Source organism: Homo sapiens, chromosome 2 (genome assembly GCF_000001405.40).
Source record: "Homo sapiens chromosome 2, GRCh38.p14 Primary Assembly".
NCBI lineage: Eukaryota > Metazoa > Chordata > Mammalia > Primates > Hominidae > Homo > Homo sapiens.
The window spans coordinates 39,995,852-40,022,754 of record NC_000002.12 but is presented as its reverse complement, the minus strand read 5'-3'; the positions used below and the strand labels follow the sequence as shown (position 1 = coordinate 40,022,754).

General features: G+C 39.9%; 1 long non-coding RNA gene across 1 annotated transcript in view, besides 1 other annotated feature; it reads right to left on the bottom strand.

The window, feature by feature from the left end:
- The window catches only part of SLC8A1-AS1 (SLC8A1 antisense RNA 1), a 337,576-nt gene that overhangs the window by 232,455 nt on the left and 78,218 nt on the right, over window positions 1-26,903 (bottom strand). The gene's annotated exons all lie outside the window — the stretch shown is intronic.
- Window positions 8,397-8,965: an enhancer, noted in NCBI's record as "H3K27ac-H3K4me1 hESC enhancer chr2:40240930-40241498 (GRCh37/hg19 assembly coordinates)". NCBI's record gives its function as "activates a minimal SCP1, AML or CMV promoter by ChIP-STARR-seq in naive and primed H9 embryonic stem cells {active_cell/tissue: H9 hESC(naive and primed)}" and the evidence as "EXISTENCE:reporter gene assay evidence [ECO:0000049][PMID:30033119]".

Genomic DNA, 26,903 nt, shown 5'->3' with positions numbered 1-26,903 from the left:
TTAGTGGAATTAAATGGAATTATATGAAGATGCATGGCTGTACCGAGCCTATGCCATTGTATGTCGGGACAACAACCCACAATGCCAAAACTTGAAGGACAATCAGACCAGACTGAAATTAAATTTAAGATGGTTTGTCTTTATGCTCGTTAACAGAGCTAGCTTTGGTACATTGGATAACATTTTTTATTAACCCTGTATACATGAAACTTTAGCTGTCACGTGGGTGGATAGAATAGAAAAACTGTGAAATCATGGTGGATTCAATGCAAATACCATAGGTGTATCAGTTCATTTAAGATGATAAAGACACACCCAAAACTGGGGAATTTTTACAGGAAAAAGGGTTTAATGGACTTGCAGTTCCACGTAGCTGAGAAAGCCTCACAGTCATGGCAGAAGGCAAGGAGGAGTAAATCACATATTACATGGATAGCAGCAGGCAAAGAGAGAGAACGTGTGCAGGGGAACTCCTCTGTATAAAACCATCAGGATCTCATGAGACTTATTCACTATCATGACAATAGCATGGGAAAGACCCATCCCTATGTTTCAATTACCTACCACTGGGTCCCTCCCATGACACATGGGAATTGTGGGAGCTAAAATTTAAGAAGAGATTAGGGTGGGGACACAGCCAAACCATATCATTCTACCCCTGGACCCTCCCAAATCTCATGTCCTCACCCTTCAAAACCAATCATGCCTTCCCAACAGTCCGCCAAAACCTTAACTCATTTCAGCATTAACTCACAAGTCCACAGTCCCAAGTTTCATCTGAGACAAGGCAAGTCCCTTCTGCCTATGATCTTGTAAAATCAAAACCAAATTAGTTACTTCCTAGATACAGTGGGGATACAGGCATTGAGTAAATACAGCCATTCCAAATGGGAGACATTAGCCGAAACAAAGGGGTTGAGGCCCTATGCAAATCCAGCAGGGCAGTCAAATCTTAAAGCTCCAAAACGATCTTTAAGTCCATTTCTCTAATTTGGGTCATGCTGATACAAGAGGTGGGTTCCCATGATCTTGGGCAGCTCTGTCCCTATGGCTTCAGAGGGTATAGCCTCCCTCCCAGCTGCTTTTACAGGCTGGTGTTGAGTGCCTGCAGCTTTTCCAAGCACATGGTGCAAGCTGTTGGTGTAGCTACCATTCTGGGGTCTGGAGGACAGTGGCCTTCTTTTCACAGCTCCACTAGGCAGTGCCCTAGTAGGAACTCTGTGTGGGTTTCCAACCCCACATTTCCCTTCCACACTGCTCTAGCACAGATTCTCCATGAGGCCACTGCCCCTGCCACAAACTTCTACCTGGGCATCCAGGCATTTTCATACATCCTCTGAAATCTAGGTGGAGGTTTCCAAACCTCAGTTATTGACTTTCATGGACCCACAGGCTCAACACCACATGGAAGCTGCCAAGGCTTGGGGCTTTCACCCTCTGAAGCAACAGCCCAAGCTGTACCTTGGCCCCATTAGCCACAGCTGGAGTGGTTGGAATGCAGGGCACCAAGTCCCTAGGCTGCATAGAGCAGGGGGTCCTTGAGGTTGGCCCACAAAACCATTTTTTCCTCCTAGGCCCCTGGGCCTGTGATGTGAAGGGCTGCCGCAAAGTCTCTGACATGCCCTGGAGACATTTTCTCCATTGTCTTGGTGATTAACATTTGGCTCCTAATTAATTATGCAAATTTCTCAGCTGGCTTGAATTTCTCCCAAGAAAATGTTTTTTGTTTTTTTTTTTTTAATCACACATCTTCAGGCTGTAGATTTTCTGAACTTTTATACTCTGTTTCCCTTTTAAAACTGAATGCTTTTAACAGCACCCAAGTCACTTCTGAATGCTTTGCTGCTTAGAAATTTCTTCCACCAGATACCCCAAGTCATATCCCTCAAATTCAAATTTCTACAAATCTCTAAGGGAGGGGCAAAATGCCACCAATATCTTTACAAAAACATACCAAGAGTCACCTTTACTCCAGTTCCCAACAAGTTCCTCATCTCCAAGACAACCTCAGCCTGGATTTTACTGTGCATATCATTATCAGCATTTTTGTCAAAGCCATTCAACAAGTATCTACGAGGTTACAGACTTTTCTACATTTTTCCTGTCTTCTTCTGAGCCCTCCAAACTGTTCGAACCTCTGCCTGTTACCCAGTTCTAGTTGCTTTCACATTTTTGGGTATCTTTGCGCAATGCCCTACTCTACTGGTACCAATTTACTGTGTTAGTCCATTTTCACACTGCTTATAAAGACATACCTGAGACTGGGTAACTTATACAGGAAAGAGAGTTTAATGAGCTTACAGTTCCATGTTGCTGGGGAGGCCTCACAATCGTGGTGGAAGGCAAGGAGGAGTAAGTTACATCTTACATGGATGGCAGCAGGCAAAGAGAGCTTGTGCAGGGGAACTCCTCTTTATAAAACCATTAGCGCTCATGAGACTTATTCACTATTGCAAGAATAGCATGGTAAAGACCCACCCCCGTGATTCAATTACCTCCCACTGGGTCCCTCCCATGACACACGGGAATTGTGGGAGCTACAATTCAAGATGAGATTTGGGTGGGGACACAGCCAAACTATATCAATAGGTCAACAAATTTACCTTCACTCAGGGTCAATAATCCTTCCTTCTTCTCTGCATTGGATCTTAGTACCTAGCATGTAAAAATTACTAGCTATGTACCTTCCATTTTCCAACTTCAAAAAGTATGCTCCTTTGCCAAAATACTGATAAATGTACTAAGTAAATGACCTGAAGAAGAAAATCATCTCTTGGATGCTATTTCCAGATAAAAGCTTTCCACACTTTAGAGAAATCCAATTTATAAGATTCTAAGATTTTAGTTCAAAATCTACATGTAAATTATGGATTAAAGGAAGGAGTGGAGGGTTTATTTAACTTACTAAAATTATCTGTTCCGTTACACAAGATTCTCTGAAGTTTTCCTTTAAATGGTGCATCAGTACATTAAAAAATGGCAGGATTTAATGGCATGGATGAAATTACTATAGTGTCCCAAATCTCCTTATTTTAGATAGTGAACCTTTGGATATAATTCAGTAAGTTTACCAGGAGTGTTTGACTCTGGTAAATATTGGAGGTGTGAGCAGACAGCACAGAACCAGTGAGTCGTGTCACCTCCCAGGGACACAAAAATGTTTTCCTTTTGTTCTAAACGGTCTTAGATTGTAAGATCAGCAAGCATAATTTAAAAGAATACCCAAATGAATAAACTTTATTGTTTTAATAAACTCGACAAAGCAATCACTGACATGAAAGTGGAACTTAATTAAAGTTGAAGCATAGATAGATGAGCTGGAACTGGAGAGGAAGCACCATTAAAACCAAAGCTCTTTTCTTTCATGCCCTCTAGCCCCAAACACACAAAACAGGCCATAGTGTGCAGAGAGATGTCAGTCCCCTATTAGGATAACAATAATCATATTAATAATACCATAGCCCATTATTATGATTATAAAGAATTAATTATATTGAACTGTGTTGCTGATATAATAATGACCACTTTACTGAAGTAATTCTCAAGGGCCAGTTTTAATTATTAGAAATCACAATGCTATTGAAATTGCTTTCTGTATCCTGAAATAACCATATTCTCTCAATGCCAAGGATTAAGAAGACACATATTTAAAAGTCTGGAGAAAGACTTCTCATGAAAAGATAAAGTGACCCCTTTTGCACCTCAAGTGGCATTATCAGTTCACTTCTCCTGAGACCTGGCTGTTGAGATGATTTCCTGTGTTTTCTCACATCCTCACCTGTCCCTTCAATAAACGCTCATCACCAAAAGGTAGCCAAACATTTCACTGTCTCTCTTGCAACCTGAAAAAGCATAGCCAACTCCCCTGGCTAATTCCAAGTTTGCCTTACTACTTACAGCTCTCTCCACTGCTTTAAAAATTGAGAGAAGAGAACTTCTCCCTAACATTTTGGTACATCATCCAATAATGTAAGACTTCAGAGAAATTTGGGGAAAAAAAAAACCCAAAACACTGTATCTCATTATTAAAAGATTATAAATCCTTCGTTTATATGTAGTCCTTGCTAAATTCATAAAATGGCTTGGGCTAAAAATGTCTGACTGGGAAGGTGTGCTGGCTCAGGCCTATAATCCCAGCATTTTGAGAGGCTGAGGCAGGTGAATCACTTGAGTCCAGGAGTTTGAGGCCAGCCTGGGCAACATGGTGAATCCCTATCTGTACAAAAAAAATATTAAAAACTAGCTGGGCATGGTGGCACATGCCTATAGTCCCAGCTCCTTAGGAGGCTGAGGTGGGAGGATCACTTGGACCCAGGAGGCAGAGGTTGCAGGGAGCCAAGATGGCACCACTGCACTCCAGCCTGAGTGACAGAGAGAAAAAAAAAATGTCAACTTAGTCAGTGTTATTCAATGTCCTAACATACCACATTTTAGCTGCTGACTTAGTCCAGCAGATAGATGAAGTAACTCTGTATTGCAATAACTTCAGGCAGACTTAATAATGTTTCATAGTCCCAAATCCTTACTTGGTTCTCTAGTGCCTAAAATTCTGTACCTTTATATTTAAGATATATCACTTGTAAGCAACATATAGTTGGGTTTAAATTTTTTATTCTCAATCCAGTCTGACAATCTTTTTACTTCAAATGTTTTTTAGCATGTTTACTTCAAATGTGGTTACTGATGTGTTTGAGTTTAAAATACTATATTACTGTCTACTTTCTACTGGGTCCCTTCTGTCTGTTTTCTGTCTCCTTAGCCCCCTTCTCTCTCGTACCTTGGCTTTTTTTTAAATTTACAGAATTTATGTTTTTAATCTATGTTTCTCTTGATTACCTTGGTTTTTTTGCATGAGTCCTACTTGAGGTGTGTACCTTTGGCTTGAAATTTTTTGTGACTTTCACACTGTTATATCTTCAAATATTGTTTCTGCCATATTCTGTTAGTCTCACCTGTTATTTTCCATGAGCACATTAAGCATAGCTATTTTAAATTCCAGGTTTACTATTTTCTGGATCCCCTATGAGTCTTGTTCTTTTGTCTCATGTTTCTCCTGGTTTGTGTTTACAAATTTGTGTTTTCTCATATTATATGAAAGACTGAGAAAAATTGGTTTCTGCAATACGAGGATATCTTCCCCCTAAAGAGTTTTACATTTGCTCTGGACGTAGGCTAAGAATACTAGTAATTCCAGATCACCTCAATTCAATCAGAGATTGACATAATTAAAAATCTATTTCCAACTTACTCTTAGTCCCAGAGAGTACACCTTTGGGGTCTCAACACAAAAGCTAGGTTTGGCAGGGCTTTCCTCCTTGGTGAGCCCTTAATTCCAATGTTTGTCTCACCAACCATATAAGTATTTCACAGCTCTGCTTAGGTTCTCCGACTTTGAGTCTCCTCTTGGAGAAATGGTAGAAATCTATAAGGAAAAGTAGCCCCAAGGGCCAGCCTCACCTCTTTGGGTTTCCTCCTTCTCTCAATTCTTTTGATCTGTAAGCTGTCACTGTCTTAGTGATTTCTTAAGCTGTAAGACAGATGTTTTTCCTATTTGATCCAGCTTTTCCACTATTACTAGTGGGAAGATTGGCCTGAATTACCTAAGTTTGCGATTACCAGAAGTAGAATTCTCACTACCTAAAATGCAACTGTTGGGGAGTTTGTTGGCTGAAGGCTTTGTTCCCACTTAATATTGGAACATCAATAGGGACCATATTAAGCCATTTTACCCGTTTATGTTTTTGAAGAAATACATACATTTTCTTAGATAGTGAGGTTTGGAGCTTTAAGTTATAGTTTAGCTCATGTGAAGAATTTCCAAGAGCCTCTTGGTTATAGATAACAGGGATAGATCAGTATACACATTAATCTACATATAACATATTTCTTGATCCTGGAGTTTTGCAGATACTGCTGTCTAGATGGATCTTTGCTCACTGGAAATATCAGTATAAGGACAACAATCCATCCATCTGTGACTGCTAATGGCAAAGTCAATCATCATTTGTTGTTTGCACTTAGCTTGAGAACTCTGCTCAACCTTGGTCTGATGAGCAACTCTGATGCCTTTTCTCAAGGAAGCTCTGGCTGCTAATTGTGAAATCTTTCTCTTGGTATTTCATAAAGTTTATGCTCCCAGCCAACAGTGGTCATAGACGTTTATTTAATATTTAGATTTAAGTCTTTTTTTAAAATGTGAAAAGCACTACACCAGGTGATATAGAAGGTTAAAAAAGATGAATCTTATTTTTGCCCTCTCATTAACATGACTAATTATGTTACCATGGTTTTAAGACTTTTATTGTACACATCTTCATTGTAAGTCATTTCAAGTCTTTTGAAAGCAGTCAAGGCATAAATAATTAATGAATCTATGAACAAATCTCTATCCTGTTCTCAAGGAGTTTATGATCCAGAACTGACTCAGCTTACTGTGGAGTTAATCAGATTGAGATGCCCTTGAATGGAAGGTCATTAAGCTACTTCAGAGCACATAGTGATGCTTTTATGAGGTAGACACTGAATTGCCTGCCCAACAACCAGTCCTCCTCCTTTGATTTTCCAACTTTTATTTTAGATTCAGGGCTTACATGTGCAGGTTTTTTACCTGGGTATCTTGAATTATGCTGAATTTTGGAGTACAACTGACCCATCACCCAGGTAGAAAGCATAGTATCTGATAGGTAATTTCTTAACTCCCTCCCTCCTTCCCCCTCTAGTAGTCCCCAGTGTCTATTGTTGCCATCTTTATGTCCATGAGTACCCAATGCTTAGCTATCGCTTGTAAGTGACAACATTCAGTATTTGGTTTTCTGTTCTTGCATTAATTTGCTTAGAATTATGACCTCTAGCTGCATCTATGTTGCTGCAAAGGATGTGATCTAATTCTTTTTCATATCCGCATAGCATCCGATGGTGTATATGTACCACTTTTTTATTTATTTATTTATTTATTTTTTTTGAGACAGAGTCTCACTCTGTCGCCCAGGCTGGAGTGCAGTAGCGTGATCTCGGCTCACTGCAAGCTCCGCCTCCCGGGTTCATGCCATTCTCCTGCCTCAGTCTCCCAAGCAGCTGGGACTACAGGTGCCTGCCACCATGCCCGGGTAATTTTTTTGTATTTTTAGTAGAGACGGGATTTCACCGTGTTAGCCAGGATGGTCTCGATTTCCTGACCTTGTGATCCGCCCACCTCGGCCTCCCAAAGTGCTGGGATTACAGGCATGAGTCACCGCACCTGGCTATGTATCACTTTTTTTAATCCAATTCCCCATGGATGGGCATCTAGGTTGATTCCATGTCCTTGCTATTGTGAATTGTGTTGTGATAAACATGCAAGTGCATGTGTCTTTTTGGTACAACAATTTGTTTTCTTTTGGGTATATACCCAATAATGGGACTGCTGGTTCAAATGGCAGTCGTTTTTTAAGTTCTCTGAGAAATCTCCAAACTATTTTCTACAGGGGCTGAAGTAAATTATACTACACAACAGTGTAAAAGCATTCCCTTTTCTCCATAACCTCACCAACACATGCTGTTTTTTGACTTTTTAATAATGGCCATTCTGAGATGGTATTTCATTGTGGTTCTGATTTCCATTTCTCTGATGATTATTAACGTGGAACATTTTTTCATGTTTTTTGGCCACTTGCATGTCTTCTTTTGAGAAGTGTCTGTTCACGTCTTTTGCTATTTTTAAGTGCTCCTCCTCCTTCCCTAACAGAACCCAAATTCTGTTCATCTATCTACCTGCCTCAGCCATAGTTATCAGCCTTAGGGGATCTTCTTCCCCTAGCCAGTAATTAGGAATGTGCTAGGCCCATGGCCCACTTCTGGTCATTGAGATGTGAGAGCAAGTCTCCTAAGAAACTTTTAAAGCAACAGAAAGAGGCTTTCTCTCTTCTTCCTCTAGATGCTTCTACATTTATGGCAACTGCAACTATGGCAGCCATTGTGCAGTATGGCTGAGGATGAAGCCAACATGGATAATGGCAGACTCAGAGACGGGAAGAACATGGCATTTTCACGACATCATCAAGTTGGGGGGCTGACAGCAAAAGTAATTCATTGCAACCATTATTTTCAAGAAGGAAAGAAGGTAAAGAATAGAAACTTTTTAAAGTGAAAGAAAACATGGAGGAGGAGCCAAGATGGCCGAATAGGAACAGCTCGGGTCTACAGCTCCCAGCATGAGCGACGCAGAAGACGGGTGATTTCTGCATTTCCATCTGAGGTACCGGGTTCATCTCACTAGGGAGTGCCAGACAGTGGGCGCAGGTCAGTGGGTGCGCGCACCGTGCGCGAGCCGAAGCAGGGCGAGGCATTGCCTCACTTGGGAAGCGCAAGGGGTCAGGGAGTTCCCTTTCCGAGTCAAAGAAAGGGGTGACGGACGCACCTGGAAAATCGGGTCACTCCCACCCGAATACTGCGCTTTTCTGACCGGCTTAAAAAAACGGCGCACCACGAGATTATATCCCGCACCTGGCTCGGAGGGTCCTACGCCCACGGAGTCTCGCTGATTGCTAGCACAGCAGTCTGAGATCAAACTGCAAGGTGGCAGCGAGGCTGGGGGAGGGGCGCCCGCCATTGCCCAGGCTTGCTTAGGTAAACAAAGCAGCCTGGAAGCTCGAACTGGGTGGAGTCCACCACAGCTCAAGGAGGCCTGCCTGCGTCTGTAGGCTCCACCTCTGGGGGCAGGGCACAGACAAACAAAAAGACAGCAGTAACCTCTGCAGACTTAAATGTCCCTGTCTGACAGCTTTGAAGAGAGCAGTGGTTCTCCCAGCATGCAGCTGGAGATCTGAGAAACGGGAAGACTGCCTCCTCAAGTGGTTCCCTGACACCTGACCCCCTAGCAGCCTAACTGGGAGGCACCCCCCAGCAGGGGCACACTGACACCTCACACGGCAGGGTAGTCCAACAGACCTGCAGCTGAGGGTCCTGTCTGTTAGAAGGAAAACTAACAAACAGAAAGGACATCCACACCAAAAACCCATCTGTACATCACCATCATCAAAGACCAAAAGTAGATAAAACCACAAAGATGGGAAAAAAAGAGAACAGAAAGACTGGAAACTCTAAAAAGCAGAGCGCCTCTCCTCCTCCAAAGGAACGCAGTTCCTCACCAGCAATGGAACAAAGCTGGATGGAGAATGACTTTGACGAGCTGAGAGAAGAAGGCTTCAGACGATCAAATTACTCTGAGCTACAGGAGGACATTCAAACCAAAGGCAAAGAAGTTGAAAACTTTGAAAAAAATTTAGAAGAATGTATAACTAGAATAACCAATACAGAGAAGTGCTTAAAGGAGCTGATGGAGCTGAAAACCAAGGCTCAAGAACTACGTGAAGAATGCAGAAGCCTGAGGAGCCGATGCAATCAACTGGAAGAAAGGGTATCAGCAATGGAAGATGAAATGAATGAAATGAAGCGAGAAGGGAAGTTTAGAGAAAAAAGAATAAAAAGAAATGAGCAAAGCCTCCAAGAAATACGGGACTCTGTGAAAAGACCTAATCTACGTCGGACTGGTGTACCTGAAAGTGATGGGGACAATGGAACCAAGTTGGAAAACACTCTCCAGGATATTATCCGGGAGAACTTCCCCAATCTAGCAAGGCAGGCCAACGTTCAGATTCAGGAAATACAGAGAACGCCACAAAGATACTCCTCGAGAAGAGCAACTCCAAGACACATAATTGTCAGATTCACCAAAGTTGAAATGAAGGAAAAAATGTTAAGGGCAGCCAGAGAGAAAGGTCAGGTTACCCTCAAAGGGAAGCCCATCAGACTAACAGCGGATCTCTCGGCAGAAACCCTACAAGCCAGAAGAGAGTGGGGGCCAATATTCAACATTCTTAAAGAAAAGAATTTTCAACCCAGAATTTCATATCCAGCCAAACTAAGCTTCATAAGTGAAGGAGAAATAAAATACTTTACAAACAAGCAAATGCTGAGAGATTCTGTCACCACCAGGCCTGCCCTAAAAGAGCTCCTGAAGGAAACGCTAAACATGGAAAGGAACAACCGGTACCAGCCACTGCAAAATCATGCCAAAACGTAAAGACCATCGAGACTAGGAAGAAACTGCATCAACTAACGAGCAAAATAACCAGCTAACATCATAATGACAGGATCAAATTCACACATAACACTATTAACTTTAAATGTAAATGGACTAAATGCTCCAATTAAAAGACACAGACTGGCAAATTGGATAAAGAGTCAAGACCCATCAGTGTGCTGTATTCAGGAAACCCATCTCACGTGCAGAGACACACATAGCCTCAAAATAAAAGGATGGAGGAAGCTCTACCAAGCAAATGGAAAACAAAAAAAGGCAGGGGTTGCAATCCTAGTCTCTGATAAAACAGACTTTAAACCAACAAAGATCAAAAGAGACAAAGAAGGCCATTACATAATGGTAAAGGGATCAATTCAACAAGAAGAGCTAACTATCCTAAATGTATATGCACCCAATACAGGAGCACCCAGATTCATAAAGCAAGTCCTGAGTGACCTACAAAGAGACTTAGACTCCCACACATTAATAATGGGAGACTTTAACACCCCACTGTCAACATTAGACAGATCAATGAGACAGAAAGTCAACAAGGACACCCAGGAACTGAACTCAGCTCTGCACCAAGCAGACCTAATAGACATCTACAGAACTCTTCACCTCAAATCAACAGAATATACATTTTTTTCAGCACGACACCACACCTATTCCAAAATTGACCACATACTTGGAAGTAAAGCTCTCCTCAGCAAATGTAAAAGAACAGAGATTATAACAAACTATCTCTCAGACCACAGTGCAATCAAACTAGAACTCACGATTAAGAATCTCACTCAAAACCCCTCAACTACATGGAAACTGAACAACCTGCTCCTGAATGACTACTGGGTACATAACGAAATGAAGTCAGAAATAAAGATGTTCTTTGAAACCAACGAGAACAAAGACACAACATACCAGAATCTCTGGGACGCATTCAAAGCAGTGTGTAGAGGCAAATTTATAGCACTAAATGCCCACAAGGGAAAGCAGGAAAGATCCAAAATTGACACCCTAACATCACAATTAACAGAACTAGAAAAGCAAGAGCAAACACATTCAAAAGCTAGCAGAAGGCAAGAAATAACTAAAATCAGAGCAGAACCGAAGGAAATAGAGACACCAAAAAATTAATGAATCCAGGAGCTGGTTTTTTGAAAGGATCAACAAAATTGATAGACCGCTAGCAAGACTAATAAAGAAAAAAAGAGAGAAGAATCAAAGAGACGCAATAAACAATGATGAAGGGGATATCACCACCGATCCCACAGAAATACAAACTATCATCAGAGAATACTACAAACACCTCTATGCAAATAAACTAGAAAATCTAAAAGAAATGGATAAATTCCTGGACACATACACTCTCCCAAGACTAAACCAGGAAGAAGTTGAATCTCTGAATAGACCAATAACAGGATCTGAAATTGGGGCAATAATCAATAGCTTACCAACCAAAAAGAGTCCAGGACCGGATGGATTCACAGCCAAATTCTACCAGAGGTACAAGGAGGAACTGCTACCATTCCTTCTGAAACTATTCCAATCAATAGAAAAAGAGGGGATCCTCCATAACTCATTTTATGAGGCCAGCATCATTCTGATACCAAAGCCGGGCAGAGACACAACCAAAAAAGAGAATTTTACACCAATATCCTTGATGAACATTGATGCAAAAATCCTCAATAAAATACTGGCAAAACGAATCCAGCAGCACATCAAAAAGCTTATCCACCATCATCAAGTGGGCTTCATCCCTGGGATGCAAGGCTGGTTCAATATACGCAAATCAATAATGTAATCCAGCATACAAACAGAGCCAAAGACAAAAACCACATGATTATCTCAATAGATGCAGAAAAAGCCTTTGACAAAATTCAACAACCCTTCATGCTAAAAACTCTCAATAAATTAGGTATTGATGGGACGTGTTTCAAAATAATAAGAGCTATCTATGACAAACCCACAGCCAATATCATACTGAATGGGCAAAAACTGGAAGCATTCCCTTTGAAAACTGGCACAAGACAGGGATGCCCTCTCTCACCACTCCTATTCAACGTAGTGTTGGAAGTTCTGGCCAGGGCAATTAGGCAGGAGAAGGAAATAAAGGGTATTCAATTAGGAAAAGAGGAAGTCAAATTGTCCCTGTTTGCAGACGACATGATTGTATATCTAGAAAACCCCATTGTCTCAGCGCAAAATCTCCTTAAGCTGATAAGCAACTTCAGCAAAGTCTCAGGATACAAAATCAACGTACCAAAATCACAAGCATTCTTATACACCAACAACAGACAAACAGAGAGCCAAATCATGAGTGAACTCCCATTCACAATTGCTTCAAAGAGAATAAAATACCTAGGAATCCAACTTACAAGGGATGTGAAGGACCTCTTCAAGGAGAACTACAAACCACTGCTCAAGGAAATAAAAGAGGATACAAACAAATGGAAGAACATTCCATGCTCATGGGTAGGAAGACTCAATATCATGAAAATGGCCATACTGCCCAAGGTAATTTACAGATTCAATGCCATCCCCATCAAGCTACCATTGACTTTCTTCACAGAATTGGAAAAAACTACTTTAAAGTTCATATGGAACCAAAAAAGAGCCCGCATCGCCAAGTCAATCCTAAGCCAAAAGAACAAAGCTGGAGGCATCACGCTACCTGACTTCAAACTACACTACAAGGCTACAGTAACCAAAACAGCATGGTACTGATACCAAAACAGAGATATAGATCATTGGAACAGAACAGAGCCCTCAGAAATAACGCCACATATCTACAACTATCTGATCTTTGACAAACCTGAGAAAAAGAAGCAATGGGGAAAGGATTCCCTATTTCATAAATGGTGCTGGGAAAACTGGCTAGCCCTATGTAGAAAGCTGAAACTGGATCCCTTCCTTACACCTTATAGAAAAATCAATTCAAGATGGATTAAAGACTTAAACGTTAGACCTAAAACCATACAAACCCTAGAAGAAAATCTAGGCATTACCATTCAGGACATAGGCATGGGCAAGGACTTCATGTCTAAAACACCAAAAGCAATGGCAACAAAAGCCAAAATTGACAAATGGGATCCACTTAAACTAAAGAGCTTCTGCACAGCAAAAGAAACTACCATCAGAGTGAACAGGCAACCTACAAAATGGGAGAAAAATTTTGCAACCTACTCATCTGACAAAGGGCTAATATCCAGAATCTACAATGAACTCAAACAAATTTACAAGAAAAAAACAAACAAGCCCCTCAAAAAGCGGGCGAAGGACATGAATAGACACTTCTTAAAAGAAGACATTTATGCAGCCAAAAAACACATGAAAAAATGCTCATCATCACTGGCCATCAGAGAAATGCAAATCAAAACCACAATGAGATAACATCTCACACCAGTTAGCATGGCAATCATTAAAAAGTCAGGAAACAACAGGTGCTGGAGAGGATGTGGAGAAATACGAACACTTTTACACTGTTGGTGGGACTGTAAACTAGTTCAACCATTGTGGAAGTCAGTGTGGCGATTCCTCAGGGATCTAGAACTAGAAATACCATTTGACCCAGCCATCCCACTACTGGGTATACACCCAAAGGACTATAAATCATGCTGCTATAAAGACACATGCACACGTATGTTTATTGTGGCATTATTCACAATAGCAAAGACTTGGAACCAACCCAAATGTCCAACAATGATAGACTCGATTAAGAAAATGTGGCACATATACACCATGGAATACTATGCAGCCATAAAAAAGGATGAGTTCATGTCCTTTGTAGGGACACGGATGAAACTGGAAATCATCATTCTCAGTAAACTATCGCAAGAACAAAAAACCAAACACCGCATATTCTCACTCATAGGTGGGAATTGAAAAATGAGATCACATGGACACAGGAAGGGGAATATCACACTCTGGGGACTGTTGTGGGGTGGTGGGAGGGGGGAGGGATAGCATTGGGAGATATACCTGATGCTAGATGACGAGCTAGTGAGTGCAGCGCACCAGCATGGCACATGTATACATATACATATGTAACTAACCTGCACAATGTGCACATGTACCCTAAAACTTAAAGTATAATAAAAAATTAATTAATTCATTAATTAATTTAAATAAAAAGACAACTTTTGGTAAAGCAAAGTGTTTTTTATAATGTCTTTTAATATCCCAAGAAAAAGACAATAGGATAAGGATCATGGTCTGTCATGAATATATCTATCAGTTTCAAATGTAACACCCTCTGAAAATTCTAAAGGTAATTTTTTCAAGCAAGCACTGCATCACAACCAGTACTTGCAACTTTGGCACTATGGACATTTGAGCTTGTTAATTCTTTGTTGTAGGGGCCTGTCCTATGTAAGATATTTACCAGTGTCCCACTAGCACCCCTTGCCCTTGGTTTTGACAACTAAGAATGCCTCCAGACATTGACATTGCCAAATGTCCCCTAGCGGGCAAAGTCACCTCCAGTTGAGAACCATGACTTAGATAAAGTCATTTTTTTTTTACAGGCCTTTGTCCAGTATGAAGAAAAATATACATTCCTTTTAAACAGATACCTTATTTCCTTTTTTAATAAAACATTGTGAACACCACAGAAACATATAAAAGGAGAAAATTTTCCAGAACCCACTGTCTCTCAAATATTAACAATTTAGTGTATAAACCTTAATATTTTTTCTATTCATGCATTTGCATATGGATAAAGTTTTATAATAGAAATAAGATTATATTTTTCATTTTCTGCTTAATGTATAGTACTTTTCACATTTATGTGCATATATTATATTTATATAACATATGTGAGTCTATTTCCCATCCTCATTCTTTACAATGGCTCAATCCCCTTATACTGTATGGATGTTCTATAATTTATTTACCACCTAAAGATGAGCGTTAGAGTTATTTCTAGTATTTGCCATTGCAAACAACACTGCAATGAGCATATCTATATATAAGTCTTTGCATACACATGTGAGTACTGCTTTAGGATAAATTACTTGAAGTTGAATGACCAGATCAAAGGCTATAAAATCAGCCCATTTTGAAAGTCTAAGTGTACCTCCAAATCTGGAATAATAGAAATAACAATCAGGAGGAATGTGTTGCATAACAACTGAACTGTGCTAATGTATGTATAAGAAAAATTAAATCTACGAGGTTTGAGGATAGGTTACCCAGGTTAACTTTTTATGGAAGAGTAATAAAATAGGATTTAGATTATAACTGGGGCTTTTTGAACCCTATTCAGGTGTACTAAATAACAAGTGAAAAGAATGCCAATTTACATTGCTCTAAGTCTCCTAAATCTTGAAAAAAAGCTCTTCTCCATTTCATTGGCTTACAAAAATAAAAAATAAGTGTTGGGTTTTTATAGGGAGAAGTGATTCTAAACTGGGAGTGACTTTGCCCCTAAGGGGACACTTGGCAATGTCTGGAGGCATTCTTGGTTGTCACACTGGGTGGGTGATGCTGGCATCCAGTAAACGGAGGCCCGAGGTGCTGCTAACTTCCTACAATGAAGAAGACAGCCCCTAAAACAAAGAACTATCAGTCTCAAAATGTCAATAATGTTGAGACTGAAAAACCCTGATATAGAGAGAAGATTTTCAGTTATAAACAATGTAGGTTATTTTCCAATATTTGGTCCAGAAAAAAAGCAAGGATAATGCCACTTTCCCAACCTTAGCCTTCCCTTCTCTCCTTACCCTACATATATTCATACAGGTAGGTACCACATAGAAGTCACTGGAGTTTAGGGGTAATCATTAACTTTATTCCTCTCTCCATTATGATTTTGGACCTATCAGGTAAGACATGGAGTTCAAGTCAGGCATGATGGCTCATGTCTAGAATCCCAGTGCTTTGGGAGGTGGAGGTGGGAGGATCACTTGAAACCAGGATTTCGAGACCATCCTGGGCAACACAGTGAGATCCTATATCTATAAAAATAAGTCAGCCAGGCATGGTGGCACATGCCTGTCATCCCAGCTACTTGGGAGGCTGATGTGAGAGGATCACTTGAGCCTGTGAAGTTGAGGCTGCTGTGAGTGATAATCATACCACTGTATTCCAACCTGAGTGACAAACTAAGACCTTATCTCAAAAACAAAAAAGATAGGAATTGGACAAATGATAATGAAAATGACAGCATAATTCCTGATAAGGCTAAAGAGTCTGGCTTGGCTTTTGGCCATAGTTGATCTTCTTAATCTATCTCTAAGGTGTACTTTTCCTACCAAATAGAGCCTTTCTCACCAAATGGAGCTTTCCCATACTCCTTTCAAAGACAGACCTACCTAGAAAGCTCATTACAGTAATGAACAAAGAAGTGCTTCTGAGAACATTCCAAAAGACACACATGCAAGGCTTAGCCCTCCATGCCCAAAGGTTTGCCATCCACACTCACTGATCCTAAGTCCCCCAGTTCCCCCATGAAGGTACAATTAGGGGTTAAGAGATGGCATGTGTGTTTTCCCCATTCTTTTCCATGTTGAGACATTAGGGTAGTCATTATTCCTTGTCTATGAAAATGGAAAAGATAGGGCTATCTCTTTCACTGTAACCGGGTCATAAGGTTTGGATTTGTTTCCCTGCTGAAATCTCATGTCAGATTGGAGGAGGAGCCTGATGTGAGGTGATTAGATCATGGGGGTGGATTCCCCCCTTGCTACTCAGTGAGTTCTCACAAGATCTAACGGTTTAAATGTGTGTGGCACCTTCCCCCTTAGCTCTCTCTCTCCTGCCACCATGTGAAGGCCCTTGCTTCCCTTTCGCCTTCTGCCATGAATACAAGTTCCCTGAGGCCTCCCAGTCATACTTTCTGTTATTAAGCCTGTGGAAATGTGAGTCAATTAAACTACTTTTCTTCCTAAATTACCCAGTCTCAGGTAATTCTTTACAGAAGGGTGAAAATGGACTAATACACCAGGGCAGAAGTTTTACATGACAGACTACCACTTTTTACCTGGTTAAAATACCAATCTATGTAGCATATAAAACAAGTTGTTTAGAATTTTAAAAAAGACACAGTAGAGATACATAAACATACAAATACATATACATACACACATACGTATGTGTGTGATTTATAAGGAAATCAAACTTTTCTCAGTTAATGTAATATTTCATTGTTGGAGATGAATATTTTCATTAAATTAAATACTGGGCGGGTGTGGTGGCTCACACCTGTAATCCCAACACTTTGGCCTGCCTGAGGCAGGCGGATCATGAGGTCAGGAGTTTGAGACCAGCCTGGCCATCATGGTGAAACCCCGTCTCTACTAACAATACAAAAAATTAGCAGGGCATGGTGGTGCATGCCTGTAGGTCCAGCTACTCAGGAGGCTGAGGCAGGAGAATAGCTTGAACATGGCAGGTGGAGGTTGCAGTGAGCTGAGACAGACCCATTGCACTCCAGCCTGGGTGACAGAGCAAGACTCCTCTCAAAAACCAAAACAAAAAAAATCTGAGGTCACTTGTGAAGTGATATAAATTACCTGTCCGCCATGCCCAGTGTTGTAGCCTATGAAGTTTGCATCATCACTCCTTAACTTTCTTAGTTCATTTTTTAGAGTTTGTCCCTGTATACATTCAACTATACCATCCTCAGACAACTTCTCCACTTCTTAAATATTTATCATAATGTAGATAATTTCCCTACAATTTTACGTGCTTCTCAAGATTGGACCTGCTTCTCATAACTAGTAAAAGCTTAGAAAGATTCACAATGACTTGAACTGTGCTTTCAAGCCAAATGGAGAAAAACAGACTTTCAAAACCTTGGTTGTTCACATATCCTTGAGTGAAAATACTCAGAAACTGCTCCAAATGACAATCTCAGTTTAAAAGATGTCAGCTGCACTCTTCAATCTACAGGGCACCAGCTCAGGGTCTTCTCATATTTGATTTATAACTGTAGTGTACCAGCAAAGGAAGGACTCACTGAGCCAAGGGATGGGCTTAGCAGCTCAAAGTTCTATTGGTAAAAAATGCTTTTGAGTTCTACTACAGCTTCCCAGACAAAGAAAATCCCATTGGGAGGGTGGATGTAAAATTAATACTGAAGAGAGCAGCCAACATAGACAGGGAGCAGCCATCCAGAAATTGTTCAGAAGGAACATTTACATGGCCAGCCACTCTGAGTCTGAGGCTGACAGGAAGCTGACAAACCGTACAGAGATGAGAGGTCTTAGAGTCACACAAACCAGCTTGATATTCTCTCACATGAACCTCTAGTCCAGATGAAGAAATATAAAATACCACAGACTTAAGCAAAGACTGAATACATGCATTAAAATAACAGATTCTCTAATTCTCATTCTTATATTTAAATAAAACTTTCAAAAAAAGTAGCTTACAAAAAGAAAAGTTAGAAGAATATAATGGACCATCTGTACACTCACCAATAAGAAATAAAATAAACACATATGAAGGCTTCCTCATTTGCATTGCCCTTCCGCTTAAGAAATAAAGGACTATTAACACATATAAAGCCTTTCTCATTTGTATTACCCTCCCTTTTTACTCCCATAGCCAAAAACTATTCTAAATTTAGTGTTTATCATTCTCATCCATGACCCTTTTACTATATATATGCAACCCATAAATGACATGTAGCATTGTTTTAATGGCTTTAAAATTGTATAAATAGCACCTTACTGTGAACATTACTTCTGCAACTTGCATTTTTCCCTCAACATTATGTTTCCCAGAATTAGCAGATAAGGATTTGAGATATAAGATTTTTGAGCAGAGGAATGACAAGACTTTTTGTTTTGACTTAAACCATCATAGTCTTGGGAACAATCATGTAGATTAGTAAAACTGAAGTAATAATGACTCCAAGACCCAACCAAAGTTGTTATTGATATATTTTTAAAGAGTTAGACTCAATATCCTTCAAATTATTAAAAAAATTTTCTTATTTTACACATCATTTCTCTTTTCATAATTATCACCCCACCATTCACACCACTCCATCCTTTCTAAATATCACCATTCCTCTAAGACAAGGAGAAATATTTAGATACCAATATATCTTACAGTACAAAGAAAGTAAGCAAGATACTTTCTTTCTACTATAACCTAAAACTTTAAGTATAATAAAAAGAAAAAAAAAAGTAAACAAGATAGATTCATCATGCTTTATCCCAGAAAAAAAAAAAGTCATATTTGAAGAGTGACTATAGAGTGGGTATAAAAGACTGAATCCTCAAGACATGAGAAAAGGAGTCGCAGTGTGTTACAATCACAATGGGTAGGGCCTATGTCCCTGAAGTGTAAGCTACATGAAGGCAGGGGTATGTTTCTACTTCTCTGTACCCATGTCTAGAATAGTGCTTAGCACAAAGCAAGTTCAAAATAAATATTTCTTGGTGAATCTGATAGTGATGATGATGAATGAGACCCAAAAATGCAACATGAACAAAATATAAGGGTTCAATTATCAAGACCTGTTGTATTTTTATGTAAGCCCTTCAAATTCTTTCTAATTTTCTCATCACAAACATCCTTTCTAGTGTTCTTTCGGCTTCACTAGGGAAAACCTGCCATCTTTGAATACTAATTATCCCAACATTTTCATACGTGAGGCTAAATGTTTGTCAACGAGCCTTAACCTTATCTATTACAGCCCTGTACCACTGCACTAATAGGAGGGCCAGCCAGTTCCCAGGGGGCATTCTGCCATGGCTACAAATCAAAATCTTCAAGTCCTGCTTCATCCAGGCCCTGGAAGGAAAATGAAACCTATGTCTCAGAAAGCCAATGCATTACTTTACAGGAAGAACTATAACTACTGAGAACTGAATATGCCCATTATCAGGCTTAGGCATCCTCTCCCTCACACAGTGCCAGAGACTTGTTGATGACATTGATTTCTGGAAGGTCACCTGTGCATTGATTTCTGGAAGGTCACCAGACTTGCAAGAGTTCCTGTTATTCGCAGCCAGTGGGAGTGTCCTGCTTGACTTTGACCAATCTTACCTTTCTCAGAGGTCTATTTTATGTTTAGTGGGCTTCTAAGTGAAAGTGTAAATGTCTGCTTCTAGCTCTTAAAGTTTGTCATTCCATTCGTTCTTCTTATTCATACAAACTAATATAATTAAGCCATGACCCGCAAAGGAAATCTCATAAAGGTACTGAGTAATGTGTGTGTAAGAGCTGAGCTTAGTGCCGTAAAACCCAAGGAGACAATTTCTATATGAAAATAGTCTGGACTGGATGTACTGGATTCAATCTGCACTTAACAAACATCTAAAGATTAAATATTACTGTCTCATGAAAGAAGCACATATCTTCAAGAAAGTTCCTATACAGTAGTTCATCAGAAAAACTCAATTCTAACAATGCTATGTTAATTCAAAATCTGAATTGGTAAAGATACAAAGAAATGGGTAAATAATACATACACTGAAAAAAAGAGAACTCAAACGAGATAATCCTCTATGACATTTTTACTGACGTTTTACTATATCAGAATGTGTAAGTTGAAAAAATTAAATCATAGATTTTAAAAACAAACCTCTCAATGGTGTTTAAGTTGACTTTGCAGGGCCAAAATAACCAAACTATCACTTTGAACACCTTATCAGGACATTATAACATTTGAATCAATTATTTTAAAAATAACAAATAATATGGTTAAAATTTAAGTCAAAAGTTTTCATATGGGGGCCAAACATGCTCCAACTTCAAATAGCAACTTCACATCAAAACTAGGACAGAAGGTTCCCCATAACGCCCAGTTATTAAATATTTATGGACTTTATCTCAAAACCCACAAGGGGAAACTGGAGTCCAGTCAGATCATTTTTTAGGAGGCCCATTTTATATTGATTCAAAAGGCATTTATATAACTTGAGAAATGTCAAGGAAATTCTTAGCAAAGGTATAAGAGCAATTTTAAGTTAGTGCTGATGTTAAAGGCCAATGTTTCAATAATTCCCCTGAGGACTGATAAAACCTGAGCTAATATAAACCAAATTTCCCGGATGCAAAGTCCAGAGACTTAAGATAAGGTGTCCTGCCGGGCACGGTGGCTCACGCCTGTAATCCCAGCACTTTGGGAGGCCGAGGCGGGTGGATCACGAGGTCAGGAGATCCAGACCATCCTGGCTAACACGGTGAAACCCCGTCTCTACTAAAAATACAAAAAAATTAGCCGGGCGTGGTGGCGGGCGCCTGTAGTCCCAGCTACTTGAGAGGCTGAGGCAGAACGGTGTCAACCCAGGAGGCGGAGCTTGCAGTGAGCCGAGATCACGCCACTGCACTCCAGCCTGGGTGACAGAGCAAGACTCCGTCTCAAAAAAAACAAAAAAAACAAAAACAAAAAAAAAAACAAAAAAAAAAAAAACAAAGGTAAGGTGTCTAGTTTTTATCTAGTAAAATCAGGTGAGTTTGTGTTCTAGAACAATACACCATTTTATTATTTGAGACCTCCTTTAACTTCAAATATAGAATATTATTTTGCATATTAACATTAAAGGACAGGAGTCTAGTGGCCATCCTCATGTTGAAAGCCTGAGAGCCTCACTACTGCAGTGTTCGAAGGGAGATACCAAAATAGGTTCAAACATTGCTTCTGCCTTGTCTAGTGAGTATAAAAGAGGGAAAAAGAGTGGCTAAATTGATACTTATTGTCATAAGCCAGCACGAAAAATACTCCACATTAAGATATATAAAAGAAACTTTGAGTAATTTATCTAACAATCTTTACCTAACTAGCGTCTAATTATAAACCAGCATTTGAGCCACGAACACCCAGCTCTTAGCAGCTGCAACGAAAAGCACCAAAGCTTTCCCTAAACCACAAGGAAAAGGATGTAGAATGCCACTCCAGGTTGATTCCGGATGTTCTGCCACTTATAAGTCTTCTGTTTATGAAAAAATTATCTTCTCTGAACTAGTTTCTTCTTGATAAGACACTGACCAAGAGCTCAAGAGAAGATGAGCTAATGTCATTTCATTGACTATTCTTGGCCTTTCTTGTCAGAAAGCATAATGCAGTGGAAAGAGCATGAGCTTAGAGTAAGAGAGCTATGGATTTGAATCCCAAGTCTTCCATCTTGTATTATATTGTATAGGAACAACCATTAACATCTCTAGGTTTTACTTTCCTCATCTGTAAAGCAGGGATGGTGTTACCTACCTTGCTTTTTAAGAGATTTTATGAGTGTTGCAAGGGTGGGACTGGCACATAGTAGGCACTCAGTAAGGGTGGTGGGAGTACTGGCTGTCAGTGGATCTGGGGGAGGCTGCAGATCTGACTGAATAAGATAAACGAGGAAGGGAGATCAGAAGTGCAGCTGTCTTGACAGAAAAAGAAAGAAGTAGTGGGGTGGGGAGATGAGGGATAGGTCAAGAAAAGTAGGAGATAAATCTTTAAAAAGCCAGGCTGAGAAATCCCTTAAGGAATAAATAACCAGGTAAATATCCAAGTAAAATCAGAGTGGGGAATGAGAAAACAGAATTCACAGGGATGCCACAGGGGAAGGGAAGGATGAGAATTCTAGCAAAACCAACAAGCAAATGCATGAGAACAAAATGCTTCCCTGGTAAATGGGACCACAGGTGGGCACCGTGATAAGTATGATTTACAGAGATCCCTTGGATAGAAGCATGTCATCACTACAGCCAATTTGAAGCTCCAGGAAAAGCGTGATTGCTGTTTTGTGGGTGTCTAAGGAAAATCACTTTATGATTACACTGAGATGACAGGACAAATACATACAAATTCTTCCAGAGCATATACTCCTGCTGCCTCCTAGTTTAAGATAAGGGAAAGAGGGGGTAACACAGAAAAAAGCACGTCAATTTCGGTAGGTTCCTGTGCAGGACAAATACAGACAAATTGTACCAGGACGTTCACTTCTGCTGCCTCCTAATTTAAGAGAAAAGAAATGAGGTAACCAGGGGAAAAACGTGTGTCAATTTCAGTAGATTCCTATGCAGTAGTGAACAGGAGAAACATCGGGGAGAGGGGGCATGAAGATTCTATTCACTTTCAGGACTCTAAATATCAAAACATTAGGCCCTTCTAGTCCAGAGAACACAATGCATGTTCATCGGGGAGATTTCCGGATGAAATTTGCTGCTAACACAAATCAACCTTGCCAAACCAGAACTGATCAGGTTTAATCAAAACATCAAGGAGCTCTTGGGAAGCAGCACATTGGGATTTCCACTTTCCAGCACACCATGGAAAGACCTGCCTAGTGCCGAGTCGCAAAGAAATGGCTGAAGGGCCTGCCTCACCTTCAATAATATTGATTCTTTACCTGATCTCTTCCCTTACCCAACATATTCAGCTGCTCAGATACAGAAACTCTTCAACAGCCAGGAAGCTGATGCTTGCTCACGACAGAATGGAGGGAAACTTGATGAGCTTGACTTCCAAAGACTCAGGACATCCCTATACTAAAAGGGCTTCCTGCTTCTCCTGGCCTCAATCACAAAAGGAAAAAATTGATGATTTCTTAAAACACTGAGAACTATACCAGGCTATGCTAATATCATAGGTATGCTTTCCTAGCAAAGATAGTTTGGTCCTGAACAAGAAGAGCAGAACAAATCCCAAGATGGACATGCAAGAGTGAAGACCCAGCTCGAATAAGGGCAGAAGCAGTGAGTGAAGGGTCTAGCTAGAAGAGCAATGAGAAATGGCAAATGGGTAACATGAGCAATAGAGGGTAGGGGGGCAGTGGGGCTGGCAAAGCTGTACCTGTCCATGGAGCTCATGATGGGAGCAGGCTAAGAGAGGAGGCATCCATGTGGGAATAGGCATGGGACTGGCAGCAGAGGACAGAATGTGTAAAGGAGAGAAAAACAAACTGTGCCTCTGCAGTCCTACCTTGTAGCATAAATATGGCTGCTTGTGTGATAGGGCACAATAAAACTGTCTTCTTTACTTGACTTAGTGTGAAACATCACAAAGAGCTGCAGCTTGGCTATATTTTATTTAAAAGAAAAAAAAGTTTTGGAGGCACAAGCCTTGGTTCGGGGTAAGAAAACATGTTCTGAAGATGCGAGTGGCTTCTGTCAGCCAAAGGGTAACAGATGTAGAATTTATTCCTACATGCCAGCTTTCTAACTGTCTTCATCAATAATCCTACATATTCCTCAAATGCCCACACAGAGCAGAGTTCAGTGAGAAGACAATACATACCTTTTTTATACTCAATTAGATCTCAAAATATTAAAATTATATTAAATGGCAAATCTCTTTAAGTCTTGCTGAAAGATAAATGCTCACAAGAATAAAAAGATGAAAGCAAACCCAAAAAGTCTTTTGCTTTATCTTGAGCTGCTTGGTTACTCGCATTTTAAATCCTCATCACTGAGTATTTTAAGTATTATAGAATTGAGCAGCCTAAAATCTTTTATTGAATTATCACTCTTAAACAAAACACAAATCTTCAGGCACATTTTCCCATACTTAAGAAAACGCATTTGGCAACAAAAATTAAATGTAACAAATGTTTACAATGCCATGTAATTTAGCATTTGAGCCGGGAAGGAAGGGTGGCTCAAATGATCATATTTCTCCAAACCCATGGCTGCTCCTGTGCCCGGACAAGCTTAGAAATGCCCAAGGTGTCTGTATCCAGTTCTGACAAACCAGCCGGAAGAGCCCCAAGTACTACAAGTAAAGAATAGGGGGAAATAGACGCCACAGAGTTCAGGATATGTCTCTCTCCTACTCCATCCCCTCCCCTTCTTAATCCACAAACCGAAGATGAAAATGAGTAAGGAGAGTGAAGAGAATAAAAGGACAACCACAGTGAACCTAGGAAAAGACAGAAAGGCCACGTCCATTCAGTGATAGAAAAAGTTCTGCTGAAACACCTGAACACTCCACCCATTTCCAGGTGTCACTGAAATGACAGAGACTTTGCCTAGAGAGGGAAAGAAATTGTTCCCACATCTCTTTCACTGTGGAAAGATAAGTCACAATGTGTGATACTTGGTGTTACAGTTCAGGACTGCCAGGCCACTCTGGAATGAGGTCTAATGGTATCAGTCAAGCAGCTATTGAGTAAATATTCCTGATGTCTGCTTCCTTGCAAGACATTTTAAATAAAAATACAAATTATTTTCTTGTTGCAAACAAAGCATGGCAAATCAAACCACCCAAATGTTTTTTTCTATGCTAATATGGTCATAACCATGTTTTAGAAGAAAAACTAGCAAGTACCCATCATGATTGGGTTTCAACAATAAAAAGATTCAGAGATATATTTTGCTTTGCTTTTTATAACGCTCATTTAATGGTTCTTTGTCAACTTTTGAAGCTTGAATGAGACAGTAGTCCTTGGAGGGAAGATGTGCAGAGTATTTATTTGGCACCCATTGTATAAATAGTCCTATACAGTAATTCCCCCTTATCCTTGGACAGTACCTTCCAAAACCCTCAGTGGATGCCCAAAACCTTACATAGTACCAAACTGTATAGGTTCTATGCTTTTCCTGTACATACATACCTATGATAATAGTTTAATTTTAGGTACGGCATAAGAGATTAATAACAATAACCAATAACAAAATAAAACAATTATAACAATATGCCAGAATCACTCCTCTTGTACTTTGGAGCCATTAATAAAATAAGGATTACTTGAACACAAGCACTGCATTCTCCCAACAGTTGATCTTATCAAGATGGCTACTAAGTGACTAAGGGGGAGGTAGTATATAGAAGTAACTAGACAAAGGGATGATTCACATCCTGGGGGGAAGGGAGTGGAATTGTAAGACATTTCATCATGCTACTCAGACAGGTGCACAACTTACAACTTATGAATTGTTTCTTTCTGGAACTTTCCATTTAATATTTTCAGACTGTGGTTGACTGCAAGTAGCTAAAACCATGGAAAGGGTAAACCACTGTGCTAAGTGTTCGACCTCTGTTACATCATTTAATCTTCACAACTAGCCTCCAAATAAATGATTATTGTGACTCACCTTTTAGAGCTGAAGAAGCAGGGCTCAGAAGGACTGAATAATATGCCTAAAGACACAGAGCTAGTAAGTACCATCTGTGAGGTTTAAATGTTCTCTACTGCTTCTAAGTGTATCTTGGGAAAAACTGGTCTCCTGTGAGTGTCCTCCAGCAAACCTACCAGCTAGCAACTATCTGTCATGTCTATTATTAAAAATGAAATATATTTGCTAATTTTTGGCAGAATTTGATTGATTACTTATATATAACCAGATGGGAATCATTAAGACCAGGATAATTTTTCCATTAGTTCTGGTAAGACATTATTTGGAAGAAAGCAGGAGAGGAGCAAGTAGATCTGGAGTGGGAGGAGTGAAGAATCCAGTTACACCCATCCCCTTCATAAAATACATCATTTCAAGATTATTTTCAAAGCTGATTTTCTTGTCAGTGTGGATGAGGTTTAAAGTTTGGCTTAGACTGAGACTTGGAGGCAAGTAATTTAGAAAGTAGAGTTGAAAAGACTGTTGAGCTGAAAAAGCAATATAAATTATAGCTAGTACTTACAGTCCTACCTGGCTGCTTTTGACATATTTATAATTTTCCTCAGCTATTCTACAAGACAGTTATTACCCAGAACTTACAAATGAAGAAACTGAGGTTTATAAAGTTCAGATAACATTTCCAGGGTCACACATCCAGAGAGTAAGACAGTCATGCCAATCTGATATCTAAAGACTTTTTCCTTCAGATATATTAGAGGGTCTCTCACAACATCTTTGCTCAGTTCTGAAACAATGAACAACTTTAAGCCAATGGCCTCTCTTTTCCTCACTTTGTTCATTTATAAAATAAAGGTAGTGCACTAAGTAATTTTTCAGTTTCCTCTCTGCT